Source organism: Homo sapiens, chromosome 3 (assembly GCF_000001405.40).
Source record: "Homo sapiens chromosome 3, GRCh38.p14 Primary Assembly".
In the NCBI taxonomy this organism is placed as follows: Eukaryota; Metazoa; Chordata; class Mammalia; order Primates; family Hominidae; genus Homo; species Homo sapiens.
The window spans coordinates 196,340,891-196,358,043 of NC_000003.12; the positions used below are offsets into that span (position 1 = coordinate 196,340,891).

General features: G+C 42.9%; 1 protein-coding gene and 1 pseudogene across 2 annotated transcripts in view; both read right to left on the reverse strand.

Annotated features, from left to right (window-relative positions):
• RNU6-910P (RNA, U6 small nuclear 910, pseudogene) lies at positions 719-825 on the reverse strand (annotated as a pseudogene).
• The window catches only part of UBXN7 (UBX domain protein 7), an 84,766-nt gene continuing 74,384 nt past the window's right edge, over positions 6,772-17,153 (reverse strand). For both annotated transcript variants that reach the window (XM_011512671.3, NM_015562.2), the window contains one exon: positions 6,772-15,956. In XM_011512671.3, the coding sequence (XP_011510973.1) occupies positions 15,795-15,956 (162 nt within the window). In that variant the 3' untranslated portion in view covers positions 6,772-15,794. The remainder of the gene's footprint in view (positions 15,957-17,153) is intronic.

Sequence of the window (17,153 nt, forward strand, 5' to 3'; positions counted from 1 at the left end):
TATTTTATTTTATTTTATTTTATTTTATTTTATTTTATTTTTTGAGACAGAGTCTAGCTCTGTTGCCAGGCTAGAGTGCAGTGCCACGACGATCTTGGCTCACTGCAACCGCCATCTCCCGGGTTCAAGAGATTCTCCTGCCTTAGCCTGCCGAATAGCTGGGATTACAGGCATGGGCTGCCACGCTCAGCTAATTTTCGTATTTTTAGTAGAGACAGGGTTTCACCATGTTGGCCAGGATGGTCTCAATTTCCTGACCTCGTGATCCACCCTCCTCGGCTTCCCAAAGTGCTGGGATTACAGGCGTGAGCCACCCCGCCTGGGCTTACTTGAAGAGAAAGTACTGATTTTAATTAAGCTCCATTTATGCATCTTCTTTTATGGTCAATATTTTTGTGTCTGCTTAGGAAATCTTTGCCCACTTCCCACTGGAGTGTGACTCACTTCTTACTCCACCGCTGTGAGGTCCTTGCAGGCAGGGACTAACTCTTACTCTGCTCTGTATATTCTGAGCCTCACACAGAGCTTGGAACATGGTAGAAGCTCAAGAATGACTTGATGAATGAATTAATTCGTGCAATGCATAATTCATGCAACACAGTCTCTGCACAGAGATTTTACTTCCAGTGATGAAAACAAACGATTACTGAGGAAACCCCTGATGCACATACATGAGAAGGGATCGTTATGACTGGCTATCACAGTTCCATTTTTAAAAATAAAATTGGAACTCTTCATTAATTTTCGTGTCATCCTTGCACGGGAACCACGTTAAACTAATCTGCATCGTCCCAATTTTAGTATATGTGTTGTCAAAGCAAGCACAGTTTAAGTCTTCTAAACTGTTTATGAGCTGCTTTCTATATAAGAATTTCTGTTTTTTTTTTTTTTTTTTTTTTTTTGAGACGGAATCTTGCTCTATTGCCCAGGCTGGAGTGCAGTGGCGCAATCTTGGCTCACTGCAACCTCCACCCCCAGGTTCTAAGCGATTCTCCTGCCTCAGCCTCCTGAGTAGCTGGGATTACAGGTGCCCACCACCATGCCTGGCTAATTTTTGTATTTTTAGTAGAGACGGGGTTTTGCCATGTTGGCCAGGCTGGTCTCGAACTCCTGACCTCAAGTGATCCACCCGCCTTGGCCTACCAAAGTGCTGGGATTACAGGCGTGATCCACTGCACCTGGCCAGCAAAAGAGATTTCGCATGCAGTGTCTGTTAGAACATCTCATATTTAGGCAATCAGAATAACTGAATGGCTGATTGCCGTATATCACTCAGATTTTTTTTTTCTCTCGATATGGGGTCTCGTACTGTCACCCGGGCTGGAGTGCAATGGCACAGTCTTGGCTCACTGAAACCTCTGCCTCCTGGATTCACTCGATTCTCCTGCCTCAGCCTCCCCAGTAGCTGGGATTACAGGCTCACACTGCCACACCCAGCTAATTTAATTTTTTAATTTTCTAATTTTTAGTAGAGACAGGGTTTCACTATGTTGGCCAGGCTGCTCTCGAACTCCTGACCTTGTGTTCCGCCTTCCTCGGCCTCCCAAAGTGCTAGGATTACAGGCGTGAGCCACCACGCCTGGCCTAGCACTCAGATTTTTAGATGATATCTCCATGTCCAACCCAATGGCTTATGTAGATATCATTAAAATGTTGCTTGTGGGACAAAGGAAAGTGCTGGAATTTGTTTTTAATCCCTTAAAGTGTCAAACTTAGTGTGGGGCTGGTGATGGCAGCTGTGGGTTTTTGCTCCTTCGGGTAAACTTGTGATGATTAATTCAATGATTATCTTATGGACAAGACACTTCTTTCTTTTTTTTTTTTTTTTGAGACGGAGTCTCGCTCTGTCGCCCAGGCTGGAGTGCAGTGGCGCGATCTCGGCTCACTGCAAGCTCCACCTCCCGGGTTCACGCCATTCTCCTGCCTCAGCCTCCCGAGTAGCTGGGACTACAGCGCCCGCCACCACAACCGGCTAATTTTTGTATTTTTAGTAAAGACGGGGTTTCACCGTGTTGGCCAGGATGTTCTCGATCTCCTGACCTCGTGATCCGCCCGCCTCGGCCTCCCAAAGTGCTGGGATTACAGGCGTGAGCCGCCGCGCCCGGCTGAACAAGACACTTCTTTAAGAAATCATGTACTTGAGATAAACGGGTCTCGTAAGGCTAGCGTTGGGACTATCTCTTCATTTCCATGTGGCGAGCCTCCTAGGGCAACAGAGGCACGGTCGCTGCCATGAAAGCACTGAAGCTTCACCTCTTTGAGACGTGTTAATAACCGCGGAGTGTGGCTCTACTGGAGATGGAGCTACTTGCTGTTACTTTGTCGGTGATGCTCCTAGGGAGGAGCAAATGGGAGTCTGAGGACATAAATGACGAACAGGGCCTGGGCTGAGAAAACCAGTCATGCCACAAAAGGCTTCCTGAGGCTGAAAGATTTGGGAGACGGCCAGGTGCCAGTGACCCACACCTGTAATCCCAGCACTTCGGGAGGCAGAGGCCGGTGGATCACTTGAGGCTGTAACCGCCCAAGGGGTTCACTTGCCCGCTGTCTAGACAGAGCCGATTCGTCATGACAGGGGAATTGCCATAGAGAAAGAGTAATTCACGCACAGCCGGCTGTGCGGGAGACCGCAGTTTTATTATTACTCAAATCAGTCTCTCCCAGCATTCGGGGAGCAGAGTTTTTAAGGACAGCTTGGTGGGTGTGGAGAGCCAGTGAGCCGGGAGTGCTGATTGATCAGGGATGGAATCACAGGGAGTCAGCTGTCTTCTTGCGCTGAGTCAGTTCCTGGGTCGGGGCCACAAGATCAGATGAGCCAGTTTATCCACCTGGGTGGTGCCAGCTGATCCATCAAGTGCAGGGTCTGCAAAGTATCTCAAGCGCTGATCTTAGGAGCAGTGTAGGGAGGGTCAGAATCTTGTAGCCTCCAGCTGCATGGCTCCTAAACCATCATTTCTAATCTTGTGACTAATGTTAGTCTAGTCCCCCGGCAAGAAGGAGGTCTGCTTTGGGAAAGGGCTGTTACCGTCTTTGTTTTAAACTATAAATTAAGTTTCCCCCCAAGTTAGTTCAGCCTACGCCCAGGAATGAACAAGGGCAGCTTGGAGGTTAGACGCAAGATGGAGTCGGTTAGGTTGGATCTCTTTCACTGTCTCAGTCATCATTTTGCAAAGGCGGTTTCAAGGCCAGGAATTTGAGACCAGCATGACCAACATGGTGAAACCGTCTTTACTAAAGATACAAAAATTAGCTGGGCGTGGTGTGCACAACCGTAGTCCCAGCTACTGGGGAGGCTGAGGTGGGAGGACTGCTTGAGTACGAGAGGCGGAGGTTGCGGTGAGCCGAGATCGCGCCACTGCACTCCAGTCTCGGCAACAGAGTGAGACTCTGTTTAAAACAAAAAACAAAAACAAACAAAAAAAGTCCTGGCGCGGTGGCTCACGCCTGTAATCCCAGCACTTTGGAGGCGGAGGCAGGTGGATCACGAGGTCAGGAGATCGAGACCATCCTGGCTAACACGGTGAAACCCCATCTCTACTAAAAATACAAAAAATTAGCCGGGCGTGGTGGCACGTGCCTGTAGTCCCAGCTACTCGGGAGGCTCAGGCCGGAGAATGGCGTGATGAACCCGGGAGGCGGAGGTTGCAGTGAGCCGAGATCACACCACTGCACTCCAGCCTGGGAGAAAGAGTGAGACTCCGTCTCAAATAAAAAAAACAAAAAATAAAGACTTAGGAGAACAGGCTAGACAGATGTTCCATTCTGGGGTATATTTGGGGATCTGGAGGTGGTATTTGAGCAAGAAATAGAGGAAGTTGATGAAATAGAATTCACTGGCAGAAGAGAAGATGATACAGCCAGACAACCAGGCCAGCTGTTTTCTAGTGTTCCCCAGATGAGAGCGACAGGACTAATCAGCCTCCTGTGGGTGGGCTCTAAACTCAACTGAAAGCTGACAAGAGAGCACATTCCCTTAATTGGAGGGAGAAAAAAAGGGAAGATATTGAAAGAGCTGCCTTTTATACCAGACCACTGAAGAGGAAGTTAGGGTTTTCTCATTAGTATATAAAAATCGTAAACTTCCACCCACCCAAAGTAGATTTCTGCCTCCAACATTGCACTGAAACTGTTCTTGGTCTCCAGTGATTTCGTGTCTCTGATGAACGCTACACTGTCCTCTTTACTTGACTCTAGACATAGTTAGCCACAGGATCCTTCTTGAACATTCTTACTCTTGGCTCCCTTGACACCCCACTCTGGTGTTTTTTTGTTTCTTTTTTTTGAGACAGAGTTTTGCTCTTGTCCCTCAGGCTGGAGTCTGGAGTCCAGTGTCACCATCTTGGCTCACTGCAACCTCCACCTCCCGGGTTCAAGCAATTCTCCTGCCTCAGCCTCCCGAGTACCTGGAATTACAAGCAACCGTGCCACCACACCCGGCTAATTTTTGTGTTTTTAGTAGAGGCGGGGTTTCACCATATTGGCCGGGCTGGTCTAGAACTCCTGAGCTCAAGTGATCTGCCCACCTTGGCCTCCCAAGGTGCTGGGATTACAGGCGTGAGCCACTGCGCCCGGCTGAGATTTCTCCTTTAAATAGAACGTTGTGGAGTTTACTTTTAGGCTGAGACCTAAAGGATAAAAGAAAGTGATCCGTGCTAAGACGAGGAGAACTCAAGCAGAAGACATGCCTCGGCTGTGGAGCAGGAAGGTGTTTGATGTTGGGGTTTGAGAGAAGGCCAGTCAGCTGGCAGGCAGGGGGCAAAGGGGGTGGCATGAAGCAAGGAGCTTGGGCATTCTGAGTGGAAGGAGAAGCCAGTATGCGGAGAATGGGTCGGAAGAGAGTAAGAGCAGAGACTACTGCAGTGGTCACGATAAAAAGCAGGTCACTTGGACCAGAGTAATGGCAATAGACTGAAAAGTAGGGTTACCTTTTATGCATTTTGGAGGCAGAAGTTAAAGGACTTGCTGTTGGATTAGAGATGGGGGAATAAGCAAAAGAAAATGACTTAAGTTTCTGGCAGGTTCATAGGTAGTGGTGTCACTGCAGGTCTGGGTGGGGAGGCGTCATCTTAGATGTAAGTGTGATACTTCCAACTATAGGCGCAGTGTAAAAAGTCGGACATGTGAGTCTGAAGCTTGGAGGAGAGACGGGCTGGAGTTGGAGATGTGAGAAATCATTGGCATTATACATGGCGGTTGGTACTATCAGAATGAGATCACAGAGGGAGAGTTAGAGGGCCAGGTCCTGGGGATCACCACCATAAAGACCCAATCAAGGAGGTGCAGGCAGTGAGAAGAAACACCAGGCAGGGCGCAGTGGCTCACATCTGTGATCCCAGCACTGTGGGAGGCCGAGGCAGGTGAATCACTTGAGGTCAGGAATTCGAGACCAGCCTGGCCAACATGGTGAAACCCCGTCTCTACTAAAAACACAAAAATTAGCCGGGCGTGGTGGCGGGCACCTGTAGTCCCAGCTACTCGGGAGGCTGAGGCAGGAGAATTGCTTGAACCTGGGAGGCGGAGCTTCCAGTGAGCTGTGATCAAATCACTGCACTCCAGCCTGGGCAACAGAGCGAGACTCTGTCTCAAAATTAAAAAAATAAAGAATTCTCTACTGGCTCCTTTTCTATTTTTTTTTTTTCATTCTATTAGAATCAGATCTGTTTTTCCATGTATGTTTATCGTCTGTTTCCAACTAGAAAGTAAGTTCCTTGAGGGCAGAGGCTGTATCTGTTTTGCTCCCCATCACATACATCCCTATTATTTGGCACATGAGGCTGGAGCATGGGGATGAGAAATGGTTCCACAAGAAAAGGGGGGGCACAAACCCATCACTGTAGAACTGTGAGCTAAGCAGCAGTCCCTTTTTTTTTTTTTTTTTTTTTTTTTTTGAGATGGAGTCACTCTGTCACCCAGGCTGGATGCTATCTCGGCTCACTGCACCCTCCACTTCCCAGGTTCAAGCAAGTCTCCTGCCTCAGCCTCCCGAGTAGATGGGATTATAGGCACTGCCACCACGCCCGGCTTTTTTCTTTTTTTTTTTTTTGAGACAGAGTTTCACTCTTGTCGCCCAGGCTGCAGTGCAGTGGCACGATCTCGGCTCACTGCAACCTCTGCCTCCTGGGTTCAAGCGATTCTCCTGTCTCAGCCTCCCAAGTAGCTGGGATTACAGGCGGCCGCCACCACACCCAGCTAATGTTTGTATTTTTAGTAGAGACGGGGTTTCACCATGTTGGCCAGGCTGGTCTCGAACTCCTGACCTCAGGTGATCCGCCCATCTCAGCCTCCCAAAGGGCTGGGATTACATGCATGAGCCACTGCATCCAGCAGCAATAACAATTTCTGTCATACCATATAATCGTATCTCCTTTTTGCCCATTAATTTAGTAATTATCTTTCCTTCAATTAAGCTAAGTCCTTAATTAACCATTAGTAATTACTGCTGGTCTGAAAGAACAGACACTGAATATTCGCCCAAGTATGTCAAACACAGAATCATACTTACCTAACAAGCCTAGCTTACCCAATGTTTCTGTAACAACTGGACTAATATTTACAGAGTGTTTACCATGAATGTTTGACATACCACAAAGAGCAGAAAAAAGGCTAGCAAACGTTACACATAACAACGGGACTACAAAGTAACCTTTGTCAATCAATAGTAACTGACCTAAATGAGAACGTGAGGGGGCAAGCTTTTGGAATCTCAATTGTATTACTGAAAGTAATATCCAGAGTCTTATCTTGTAAAAACAACAACACAAAAAAAACTAATACTGAAAAGTTTTTGTTTTTATTTCCAAGATCAAATATTACAACAGGACATTTACATGTATTTATAAAAAAATGCAGCAGTTGAATGTATAGATCAGAGGTTTCCTTGAGTTTGGTCCCTCTCTCAGCACAGTGAGCTGATGTCTTCAAAAGACTTATCGTCCCACTCCCTTCCCTCCCCCACCCCATTGTCCCCCCACCCTCCCCGTTTCAAGTTGCAGTATTAATATAAAGCAACTGGGTACAACACAGCAAGAGTATTCACAATTTGGTACAGACCAAACCAGAGGATCCCCAACTGACAGCAAGATCCTCCTTCTGGAAATTATTACCTATAGACTAGGTAGATCTATAGGTAGATCACACCCAGTTATCTAAGATTTCCCTGGTTTTAGAGCAAGTGGAAGTTCCATTGAGTCTTAGCCAGTAGTTACAACTCTGCGTTACCTAATGGCATGTTTTTCTCCTCTTACAAGTTTAATTTTCTACCGCCTCCATGTGTCTTCAAATTTAAGGCTTTCCCAAGCACCTTTATTATGACTTACTAGATATACAGGAGGGTCTCTAATGTGTCTTGAACAAAAAAATTTAGTGGATGGTCCAGCTGCCCCTTGCTCAACAATCCCAAAGACTTCTTCCCACCACTGAGAAGAGCTGCAGAAATCAACGGTATCTCCTAGCACCATTGGAGAAAAGGCCCAGAAAACAGAATTCGATGTGCATTTTAGGGAGCACTTGCCAGAAACATTACAACAGGAGCACTGTCTCTGTTATCTTCTTGGATTCAATCACAAATTTAGAGTACAGATGAAATTTAGAGCCTGTCCTGCATTAAGAATGCAAATCTCAGTAAGACCACCCCCACACACACTTTGTCCAGAATAAGTTGAGCCACAAACATCCCAGGGAATCTCTAAATACTGTTAGGAACTGCTTTAGAAAACACTTTAAAGCAAATACCCCAAGTTGACTTCACTCAAGCCCCCAACCCACCCTCATCATCCCTATCCCCCTAGAAATTTCATTCCTTGATTAACTTCTCTGAGTAAGATGTAAAGTGAGGTTTGGAAAATGACATGAAACATGAAACATGTTTAAAAACACAATCAATGAAGACATGCCAGAACTGGACATCCCAGGTGACTTCAAATGCATTGTTCAAGCCGAACTCATACAAAGCATGCACAGAGCCTGCACAGACACTGCTGAGAGTTTCCAGGGAACAATCAATACCTACTCGAAAAAGGACTTTCCTGAAGGGCAAACAAAACAAAACAAAACAAAACAAAACAAACAAAACAAAAAGTAACACTGGATGTTTAGAATTTGTTAACAACAACAACAACAAAAAACCATTCTGGAAAAAAAGATTATCAGAGGAGTGAAGAAAACCGTGTCTAACAGATTCATGCCAAAGCTTGGATGGAAGCCCCTCAAAGTCTAAGTATCGTGTTAGCATCAACTGGTACTCATTTCTCTATATCTAAGACTAGAAGATTCTCTCACAGCTTTACTGTTTCCTGGCAAGTGTTTTCAACAGCCTTTCCAGCTGAAGGGACGAACCCAGGAAAGTAACAAGGCCCAAGACCCCACATGGGTCAGATAAGCAGCCCCTACTAGAAGCTTGCTACTCGTTAACTGAAAAGTGGAGGCCACGCACTACTTTCACTCTCTCTAGCAGGTGAAAGGGGATTTTCTGATGGCAACAGTCACTCCGTGTAAGGTTTAACTTACAGGGCAATAAGTTATCAAAAAGTTATTGTTAAAAGCATATGATTAGTGTCATAAACATATTTATATTTGGAATTACACCATTTGATATCTCCATTAAGAATGCAAAGCTTTGAGAAAAGCATACTGTAAAATCATGTTGCTGCAAACAGCAAGGCATCCAGCTGAGTGTAAGCAGTCTAATGTCATCAAACTGAAATGGACCCTCGTGACGGGCACTATGGAACCAGCTACCTAGATAGAGAGAAAAAAGGAGAATGGCAGGGAACGGTTCCAGATCAAGAATCTCTCCCTTATCAGTTAAGAGTTCCATACTGAGTCTATGAAAAAAGCAAATTAAAAAGATTTTAAGAAAGGGGGAATTCAATTCCAGGTCAGAATTTATCTAATGATTTGATATGTTTCCCATTTATCATGTCTAAAAAATGAATGACTCATGCTAACCCAGTTAGATTAATAACTTCTTTTGATGAGAAAAAATATTACTTAGGTTTAGTCCAGCTTAGCTTGACTATTCTTCCCATTTGAAAACCCAAATGACCTTTAGAAGGGATATAAAATACCCAGAGTATTGTGATCTCTAGAGAGGAAATACAATTAAACAATAAAAACTTGCTGTTTGTTGCCAAAGAATTAAGTACAATAATGCGACTTCTCATATTTATAGATTAATCTGTGATTGCTCTTGGGAAAAATACTATCATTGGTATTTGCCATCTCTAATCCTAGAAATAAATCTGGTTATCTTTTGAAAATACTTTCTCATTACAGGAATGCTAAATTATGTTTATTAAAGTAGTTCAAATTGGATTGCCCAACTTTATTTTGAAATCAATAGCAAAGAAAGGCCTGTGCCAAAAATCATCATGTTTATGAGAATATCTGCAATTTTAAGCAACACAACAGCAACTGGTAGGCCACAAAGAGGGTGGGGTATCACAGAGCTAGCCATTCTCTATATGAAACCAGAGAATTCTCCTTAACTAGGGAGAAAATGAGCTATAAAAGTAAGTTTGCCTCAAAAATGTCCTTCAATTTTATAAAAAATGAAGATTGTTACATATTAAGACTTTGAAATGGAATTTCTTAAACATAGCCAATTACACTAAAAATCATAACTATTTTCAGAGAATGAATGTTAAAAATAAATGGTGGAGAAGTAAAATGGAAAGCAGGATTAAAAGATTTCTAATTAAGGGTCTGTCACTTCACAGGACAACTAGCAAGGCCATTATAATCTCTATTTTTAAAAAGACATCAAGAAATTCTTGATTCTATACTGTCTCTCTAGCAGGACTGACACACAGGTGAGTCAAAAACCATAACCATCACTGAAATACCAAATCTCTATGTAACAGGAGAAACCGATATATTGGTATGGTATTCTCTGTTGGGTTATCTGCAGTTCTAAAGAACATTCTTGCCACTATTCTAAAATGTGTACAGTGCAACACCATGTTTCACGGCAAGACAATAACTGAAAAGCTAAGCCAGGCAATCCAGTGAAGTTGAATGTCCATAGTACACAGCTGTCTTTAGCCTATTCATCAAGGCTGGTATTACCGGAAAACTGCCATGTTCACCAGAAGAGCTGTCTCTTCCTATGCTCATTACATTTTAGTTTTACAAAGACTACTAATTCATCAGCCTGCACCCCATGATTTACTACTGCGTAGTTACATGATGGTCAAAAAAGGCAGAGAGACGGTAAGAATGACATAATAAAGATACATTCTGTGGAATAAAAAACATTTTTAAGTCAGCCTAATTGTATCTTTAAAAAGCTGTTTCTGCCAAAACCAGGTGTGAATCTTATACAAATCAATTTCCCAACAGGCCAGTAAAGTACTTTAAGTACACAAGTAAAAATAAAATTTAGTGCCAGCGTTAGTGTCATATTTGGTTCTCATTTACATTTTAGTCATACTCAACACTGATTAGGCACACAGCATTAAGTTTTAAAAAATAATGAATTGTTTACAAGATTATTATTACTAGACCTATAACTACTATACTCTCCTCTTTGGAGATTTCAGTCATCGCAGTAAGATTAAGAGCAAGTTGTTGGTCAAATGATACCTGAACACAGAATAAAAAAAAGAGAGAAAAAAAAAGTAAAGAAACTGATTAACCAGCACACTTTTAATTAGCCTAGGGATAATACGCAATCACGGGGAGAGACTGGAAGCATGAAATTTTGGAAAAGGACTTCAGAGATAATCTAATTTGTTGTTCTAGAAAAGGCTGAGAACTATTAATCTAGTCCAATTATCTCATTTTTCAGACGAGAAACCAGAGATTAAGAAGAAAGAGAAGTGTGAAGGTAACAACTAGCAGAGCTGTTACCCAAAGGGCTCTCACACCTCCAGTGCCCTTTCTGCATATAACATATACTATACTATGCATTGGATTTGTACCTGGGTAGAGAAATTAAATCTTTCCTTCATTTTTCGGTTGCTAGTGGCTCCCTCTGGTATTTTCCCTAAGTGTGCAAGTAAGATTCCTGCGAGCTAGGAATCTTTACTCCGGGGGATCAATAGTGAGATCCCCGCAAGCTAGGAATCTTTACTCCAGGGATCAATAATCCTTTCCTACTTGGGTACTGGTTATGCCTTAGTGGCAGAACTTCATGCCCCAAATCTAGAAGTTACAAAAGGTGGAGCTAAAGAAAAAGGTGAGTCAAAAGAAAACGTGAGCTACAGTGCTTGCCACTTCAGTCTTGTTTAAGACTTTGCTAACTAAAACATATTCTTCCCTTTTTCTAAGTTTGAACTAATAGGTAAACATTTACATGCTCTCCAATTATTTCATGTGTAGTGTGTCTCTCTAACTGGATAAAACAGGCAGGAATCATATCTTATTTATTATTTTTTGAGACAGAGTCTCGCTCCATTGCCCAGGATGGAGTGCAGTGGTGTGATCTCGGCTCACTGCAACCTCCGCCTCCCAGGTTCAAGAGATTCTTGTGCCTCAGCCTCCCCATTAGCTGGGATTACAGACAGCCACCATGCCTGGCTAATTTTTGTATTTTTCAGTAGAGATGGGGTTTCACCATGTTGGCCAGGCTGATCTCGAACTCCCAACCTCAGGTGATCCACCCACCTCGGCCTCCCAAAATATTGGGATTACAGGCATGAGCCACCACACCTGGCCAGGAATTAGATCTCAGATTTCAAAATACTTCCAACTTCTATAAAGAACTCAATAGCTAATTGTTGACTTGTAAGTCAAGGAAGTAGAATTATATACAAGATTTAAAAACATACACACAGAGGGTTCAATAATCTGGTATGGATGGGACACAGAAAACAGAATTGTAGATCGGGCGCAGTGGCTCATGCCTGTAATCCCAGCACTTTAGGAGGCCGAGGTGGGCGGAACACGAGATCAAGAGATCGAGACCATCCTGGCCAACATGGTGAAACCCTGTCTCTACTAAAAATGCAAAAATTAGCCGGGCGTGGTGGCGCTCACCTATTAAAAAAGGTAATTGTATCTTTTCTGAAAAATGTTTAAAAAAAGAAAAAATTGTTTTTTTACCCTTTTCATTTATTCTTGGCAAATAATGCCACGTGGCAATTTTACTTTCACATCTTCACCAGTGCATCATTTTAAAAAAGCAATAATCAGCCTCTCAAAATAATGGCATAAATAAAAATGTATAGGCATAGTGCAAATCCCACAACTTTAACCCAACTACTTCCTCTATATTTATGGGAACAAAACTAAGTGACACTTTACAAAGCCAAACAATGAGAAGAGAATCATCTGGGTAGCTTGATTCTCTTGCTGAAGGAGACCACAGCATGGACTCTGGATTCCAATTCTGATTTGCCACTCACTAGCTATGAGTCCTGAATAAGTTCTCTATACCTGTTTTCTTAACATGGGAAGAAAGTATACATTTTGTACGATTCTTCGGGAGATTGAAGAGGCAAATGTACACAAAAGTATCTGGTGCATGCCAATTAGTATTAAGTTTCCTGTTCTTTTCTCATTTGGCACTGTTGTTTTCTCTTCTCCAGTTCCTTCCGATACCAATTTCAAAAAAGTATTCCTCTCACTTTTTTCCCACTAGTTTTCTTCTTCTTCTTCTTTTTTTTTTTTAAATTTGAGATGGAGTGTCGCTTTGTCGCCCAGGCTGGAGTGTAATGGTGCGATCTTGGCTCACTGCAACCTCTGCCTCCCAGGTTCAAGCCATTCCCCTGCCTCAGCCTCTGAGTAGCTGGGATTACAGGTGCACGCCACCACACCCAGGTAATTTTTGTATTTTTAGTAGAGACGGGGTTTCACCATGTTGCTCAGGCTGGCCTCGATCTCCTGACCTTAGGTGATCTGCCCACCTCCGCCTCCCAAAGTGTTGGGATTACAGGCATGAGCCACCGCGCCCGGCCTTCCTGGTAGTTTCCATTCCATCTCCCTGTATTTTTCTCTTATCACTCTCGAAGTCTATCTTTCTTGTTCTTTTCCTCCCTAGCTTTTTTTTTTTAAACACTCCTTTCAAGCTGTGTCCAACACCCACAAGGAATGACTATTTTTAACTAATCTTACTGACCTCATTTAATCTATTCAATAAAACCTCTGCCCTAAGGAGCAAAGAAACTTGCAGAGGAAGTAAGGCAAACTGGAAGAAGCATACTGTCAGCGGATTAAATTCTTGAGCAAGGCAATACTCCTTATGGATTCTTCCCATGTACAATCCGTAACTCTTCCCATGGGCCTTTATATCAACCCTAAGATAATTACACTCCTGCCTCAAAATAAAATAAAATAAAACCCACCACATCTTGTATTGTAGACATCCCAGCTGCATGTTAAGCTGAGTGAAAGTACCATGCTGTCTTTTAAATCACTTTATATCTACTTAATCATCCCACAGTAACCCGAGTTGAAGAAGTTACTTTGGTTTCTCATAAATGAATATGCACGTGCTGAACATATCGGAAAGAACCACACCCTCTCACTGATGAACACGTTGGCAGTTCTCCCAACTGTTTTATCAAGAGAAGCTAGAAGGTAAAGAAAAGGAAACAGAGCCCTATAGGAAAAATGATTGACTTCACACGTTTGAGCGATTTGGGCTTCAGCTATGACTTTGCTGGAGTACAGATGGGTGCCATCAGAGCACAAAGCTGAGCAAACCTCTCTTCTTACCCTGTGCCCTCCCTGAATTTTTGGATTTCTGAGCTTGTCTACTACCAACAAATGTTTTACCCTCCAGTGCACCTTTGACAGTATACAGCTCTATTTTTCAAACGGCAAGTATGTTATCCAAGTTCAGAGATGCAACTGAGGAATTAACATGAAAACCATCTTTCACTCAATAAATCAGAAGCTGCTAGTTAAGTAAGCCTCAAGAACCTAAGAAAAAACACCAAAGTGTAAGTATTACTCAGTCACCAATCTAAAGACAGAACTTTGACTCAAGGTAGAAATGAAACCGTAATTATATAAATATATTTATAAATATTTATACAATTATATACTTATACATAAGCACTTACACAGACTTAGAAAAAAATTTAAGAACATTAATTCAAAAGGACTCACTGAAGAATAAACAGATTTTTCCATGATTTCCTTGAGGAGATATAAAACTCATTCTTTAGGGAGAGTTCCTCAAAATTCAACCATTAGAAACCATATCCTATAACTGTGTACTAGCAACACATGGCATCTTTTTTTCTTCTTTTCCCAAATCCCCTAATTGCCAAGAGAGCAATCTTAAAGTAGATGAAAACCTAAAGGTCTCTACGCAACATCTGAGGAACATACGCTCCTCAGATAAAAGAATCAATCTAAATCCTCAACTGACAAAAAGGTCCATTTAATATTTTTCATTTTACAAGTTAAAAGTTCTAGTTTTGCCACCAGAATCACGACTACCCCCCCTTCAGAGGACTCCATTTAAGCTCAAAATACGAAATGAGCATAGGGTGAAGTTGATGTGTAAATGGTATTCTACAGATTCAAGATGGCCTCTTCTAAAAACACTGAAGAAAGCTTTCACCAACTCTAATTTGATTTTGGGTTTTGTTGGCAGAAAAAGCCCAAGACATCTGAAAATTACTAGTAACCTCCGCCATCCTCCTTACTAAATGTTGTCTTCTGAATGGAGTTGAAAGGTCTTCCCCTTAGAGAGGCTTTCCGTTTTGATACCTTTTGAAAGAAAACAGCATGCGGACTCATGTTCAATTCAGTCACCAGAGCCTTTTAGAGACTATTCCAACCAGGGGCAAAAAATGAACCATTATTTCTAACCAAAAGAACATGGTTAGCAACTCTCAGCTGAATGGTTTTCTTTTTCCCCAGGGACATACCTAAGTATGCCTGAAACAACACAGGACAATCAATAACCATAGTGGTTACAATTCCAAGCCATTGTACTACATGATTATTGACCAGCTGCCTTCCTACAGATCACTGCAGACTCAGACAATGGAGGGCTCCAAAGGAACTAATATGCTGTGCTGGCAAAAATAGCAAGCACCTTCCTATCCCAGTCACCACGATAGGTTCACTTCATGTCCATTCTTGGACTAGCAGGATCAATACAGAGTAATAAGGAAAACTGTCTCAGGTTAGGACAATGAAAGTCACCCCATGCTATATGCTCCATATTTAACACTCATTCTGCCAATAACACATGTCATGGAAATAGTCCTTATAGCTGGGAACATGAAAATCCTTTGAAAAAGGTTTTTAAGTATGATGAGCAATCATTACAAGGGATGCTTTTTCCACGTAAACAAAAGCCTGGATATTTTGTTAAGCGACATTTCCACATGAAGAACACAACAAAACCAAACCCATGTTAGAGAATTTCTTCTCCCTGCTAAACACGGGGACTTACAAAAAAGGGAGGGTTGTTCTTACTCTGAATCTAGCCATTCCTTTGCCCGAAGAGTCTGGGGAGTAACGTTAACATTTGATCCCAAAAAAGTGCCGTGCAAGAGACCACTTACTGGAACACACAATTCCTGCTGCTAGTACTAGGAGAGGTCTTATCCTTACACTTCAGTTTGGTCACCAGATTAGGTAAGAAAGAAAAGTGTGGGGGGAGGGGGAGGCAGAAGGGTACGGAGTGGGGAGCGAGAAAACAGAAGAGGAGAAAGAAACAAAGGGGGAGAAAGAGACTGATTATAGGAGAGATCAAGAAATAAGAGAAGGAAGGTGACTTGCTTGCCCAACTTTGGCTCTGTGGTCCTATGAGCCAAAATGCATACTTAGTGACATGTATCTCACAGGAAAAGGGAAAAAAGGGGTAAGCTGAGAGAGGTCAAGCCATGGTGTTAATTTCTTTCCTGTACAAAGACAGTCTCTTGAGGACAAAGGCCTGCCTCTTGCAATGTAATATCATAGTCCAGATGAGATAATTTCCTTCGAGGAAAGTTGGTGAGAAGTTCAAAACGTTCATTTGGGTATCCTTTAGACTGCACGTGCTTCACCAAAGCCTATAAAAACAAGAGAAAGACAAAGCCATTAGACGGAAAAAGAGGAAAGAGCATATTAGTGAATTAAATAGAAAACATTCTCTTTTTAATCATATTAGATCAGCTATTAAATGTAAGTTCTTCTTTCATATAACCAAAGCTTGCCCTTGGGGAAGGGCCAATATAAACCTTTGGACGGGGAGATAAATCTGACCCCAATTACTTACAGCCATTAAGTGATACTGAAATACACAGTTATTATTTGGCTCCCCAATAAATATACCCAGTCACTATTCATAAAATTAAATTATTGTTCTCATTTTAAAACATTTTATCCGTTTTCCTTTCTCCCTTTTATCAAGGAAGATATGTCCTTCATTCTGCCTACACCCAATCTTGCCACCTGTGCACTGAATCTCTTCTTGCCTTCTCAGAAACTGGACCATTCCCATCTTTTGCAGGTTTCTTCAACATCTCCCTCTCTGCTTCCCATCAAACTTCAACACTGCTTGCATTTCAGTAACACAGTCTTCAAGAATCAGCCTAATTATCTCCAGCCACAGCAAACGGCCAGCAATGCCTGACGCAAGGGATTCATTCACAGGCTAAGCTAAGCTAAGCTAGTCAGACTCAAGATTCTGTTTCCAGCAGTTAAAAACAGAGGGTGTCGGGGCACGGTTGCTCACACCTGTAATCCCTGCACTTTGGGAGGCCAAGGAGGGGGACAGCTTGAGCACAGGAGTTGGAGACCAGCTGGGGCAACATGGCAAAATCCCATCTCATCAAAAAATATGGGCCAGGCATGGTGGCTCACCTGAGGTCAGAAGTTCGAGACCAGTCTGGCCAACATGGTGAAATCCCGTCTCTACTAAAAATACAAAAAAATTAGCTGGGCATGGTGGTGCGCACCTGTAATCCCAACTACTTGGGAGGCTGAGGCAGAATTGCTTGAACCTGGGAGGCTGAGGTTGCAGTGAGCCAAGATCATGCCACCCGCACTCCAGCCTGGGTAACAGAGCCAATCTTCATCTCAAAAAAAGTAAAAATAAAAATAAAAACTAGCCGGGCATGGTGGTGTGTGCCTGTAGTCCCAGCTACCGGGAAGGTCAAGGTGGGAGGAGAATGGCTTAAGCCTGGCAGGCAGAGGTTGCAGTGAGCCAAGGTCGTGCCCCACAGCACTCCAGCCTGGGCAGAGCCAGATCGTGTCTACAAGAAAAG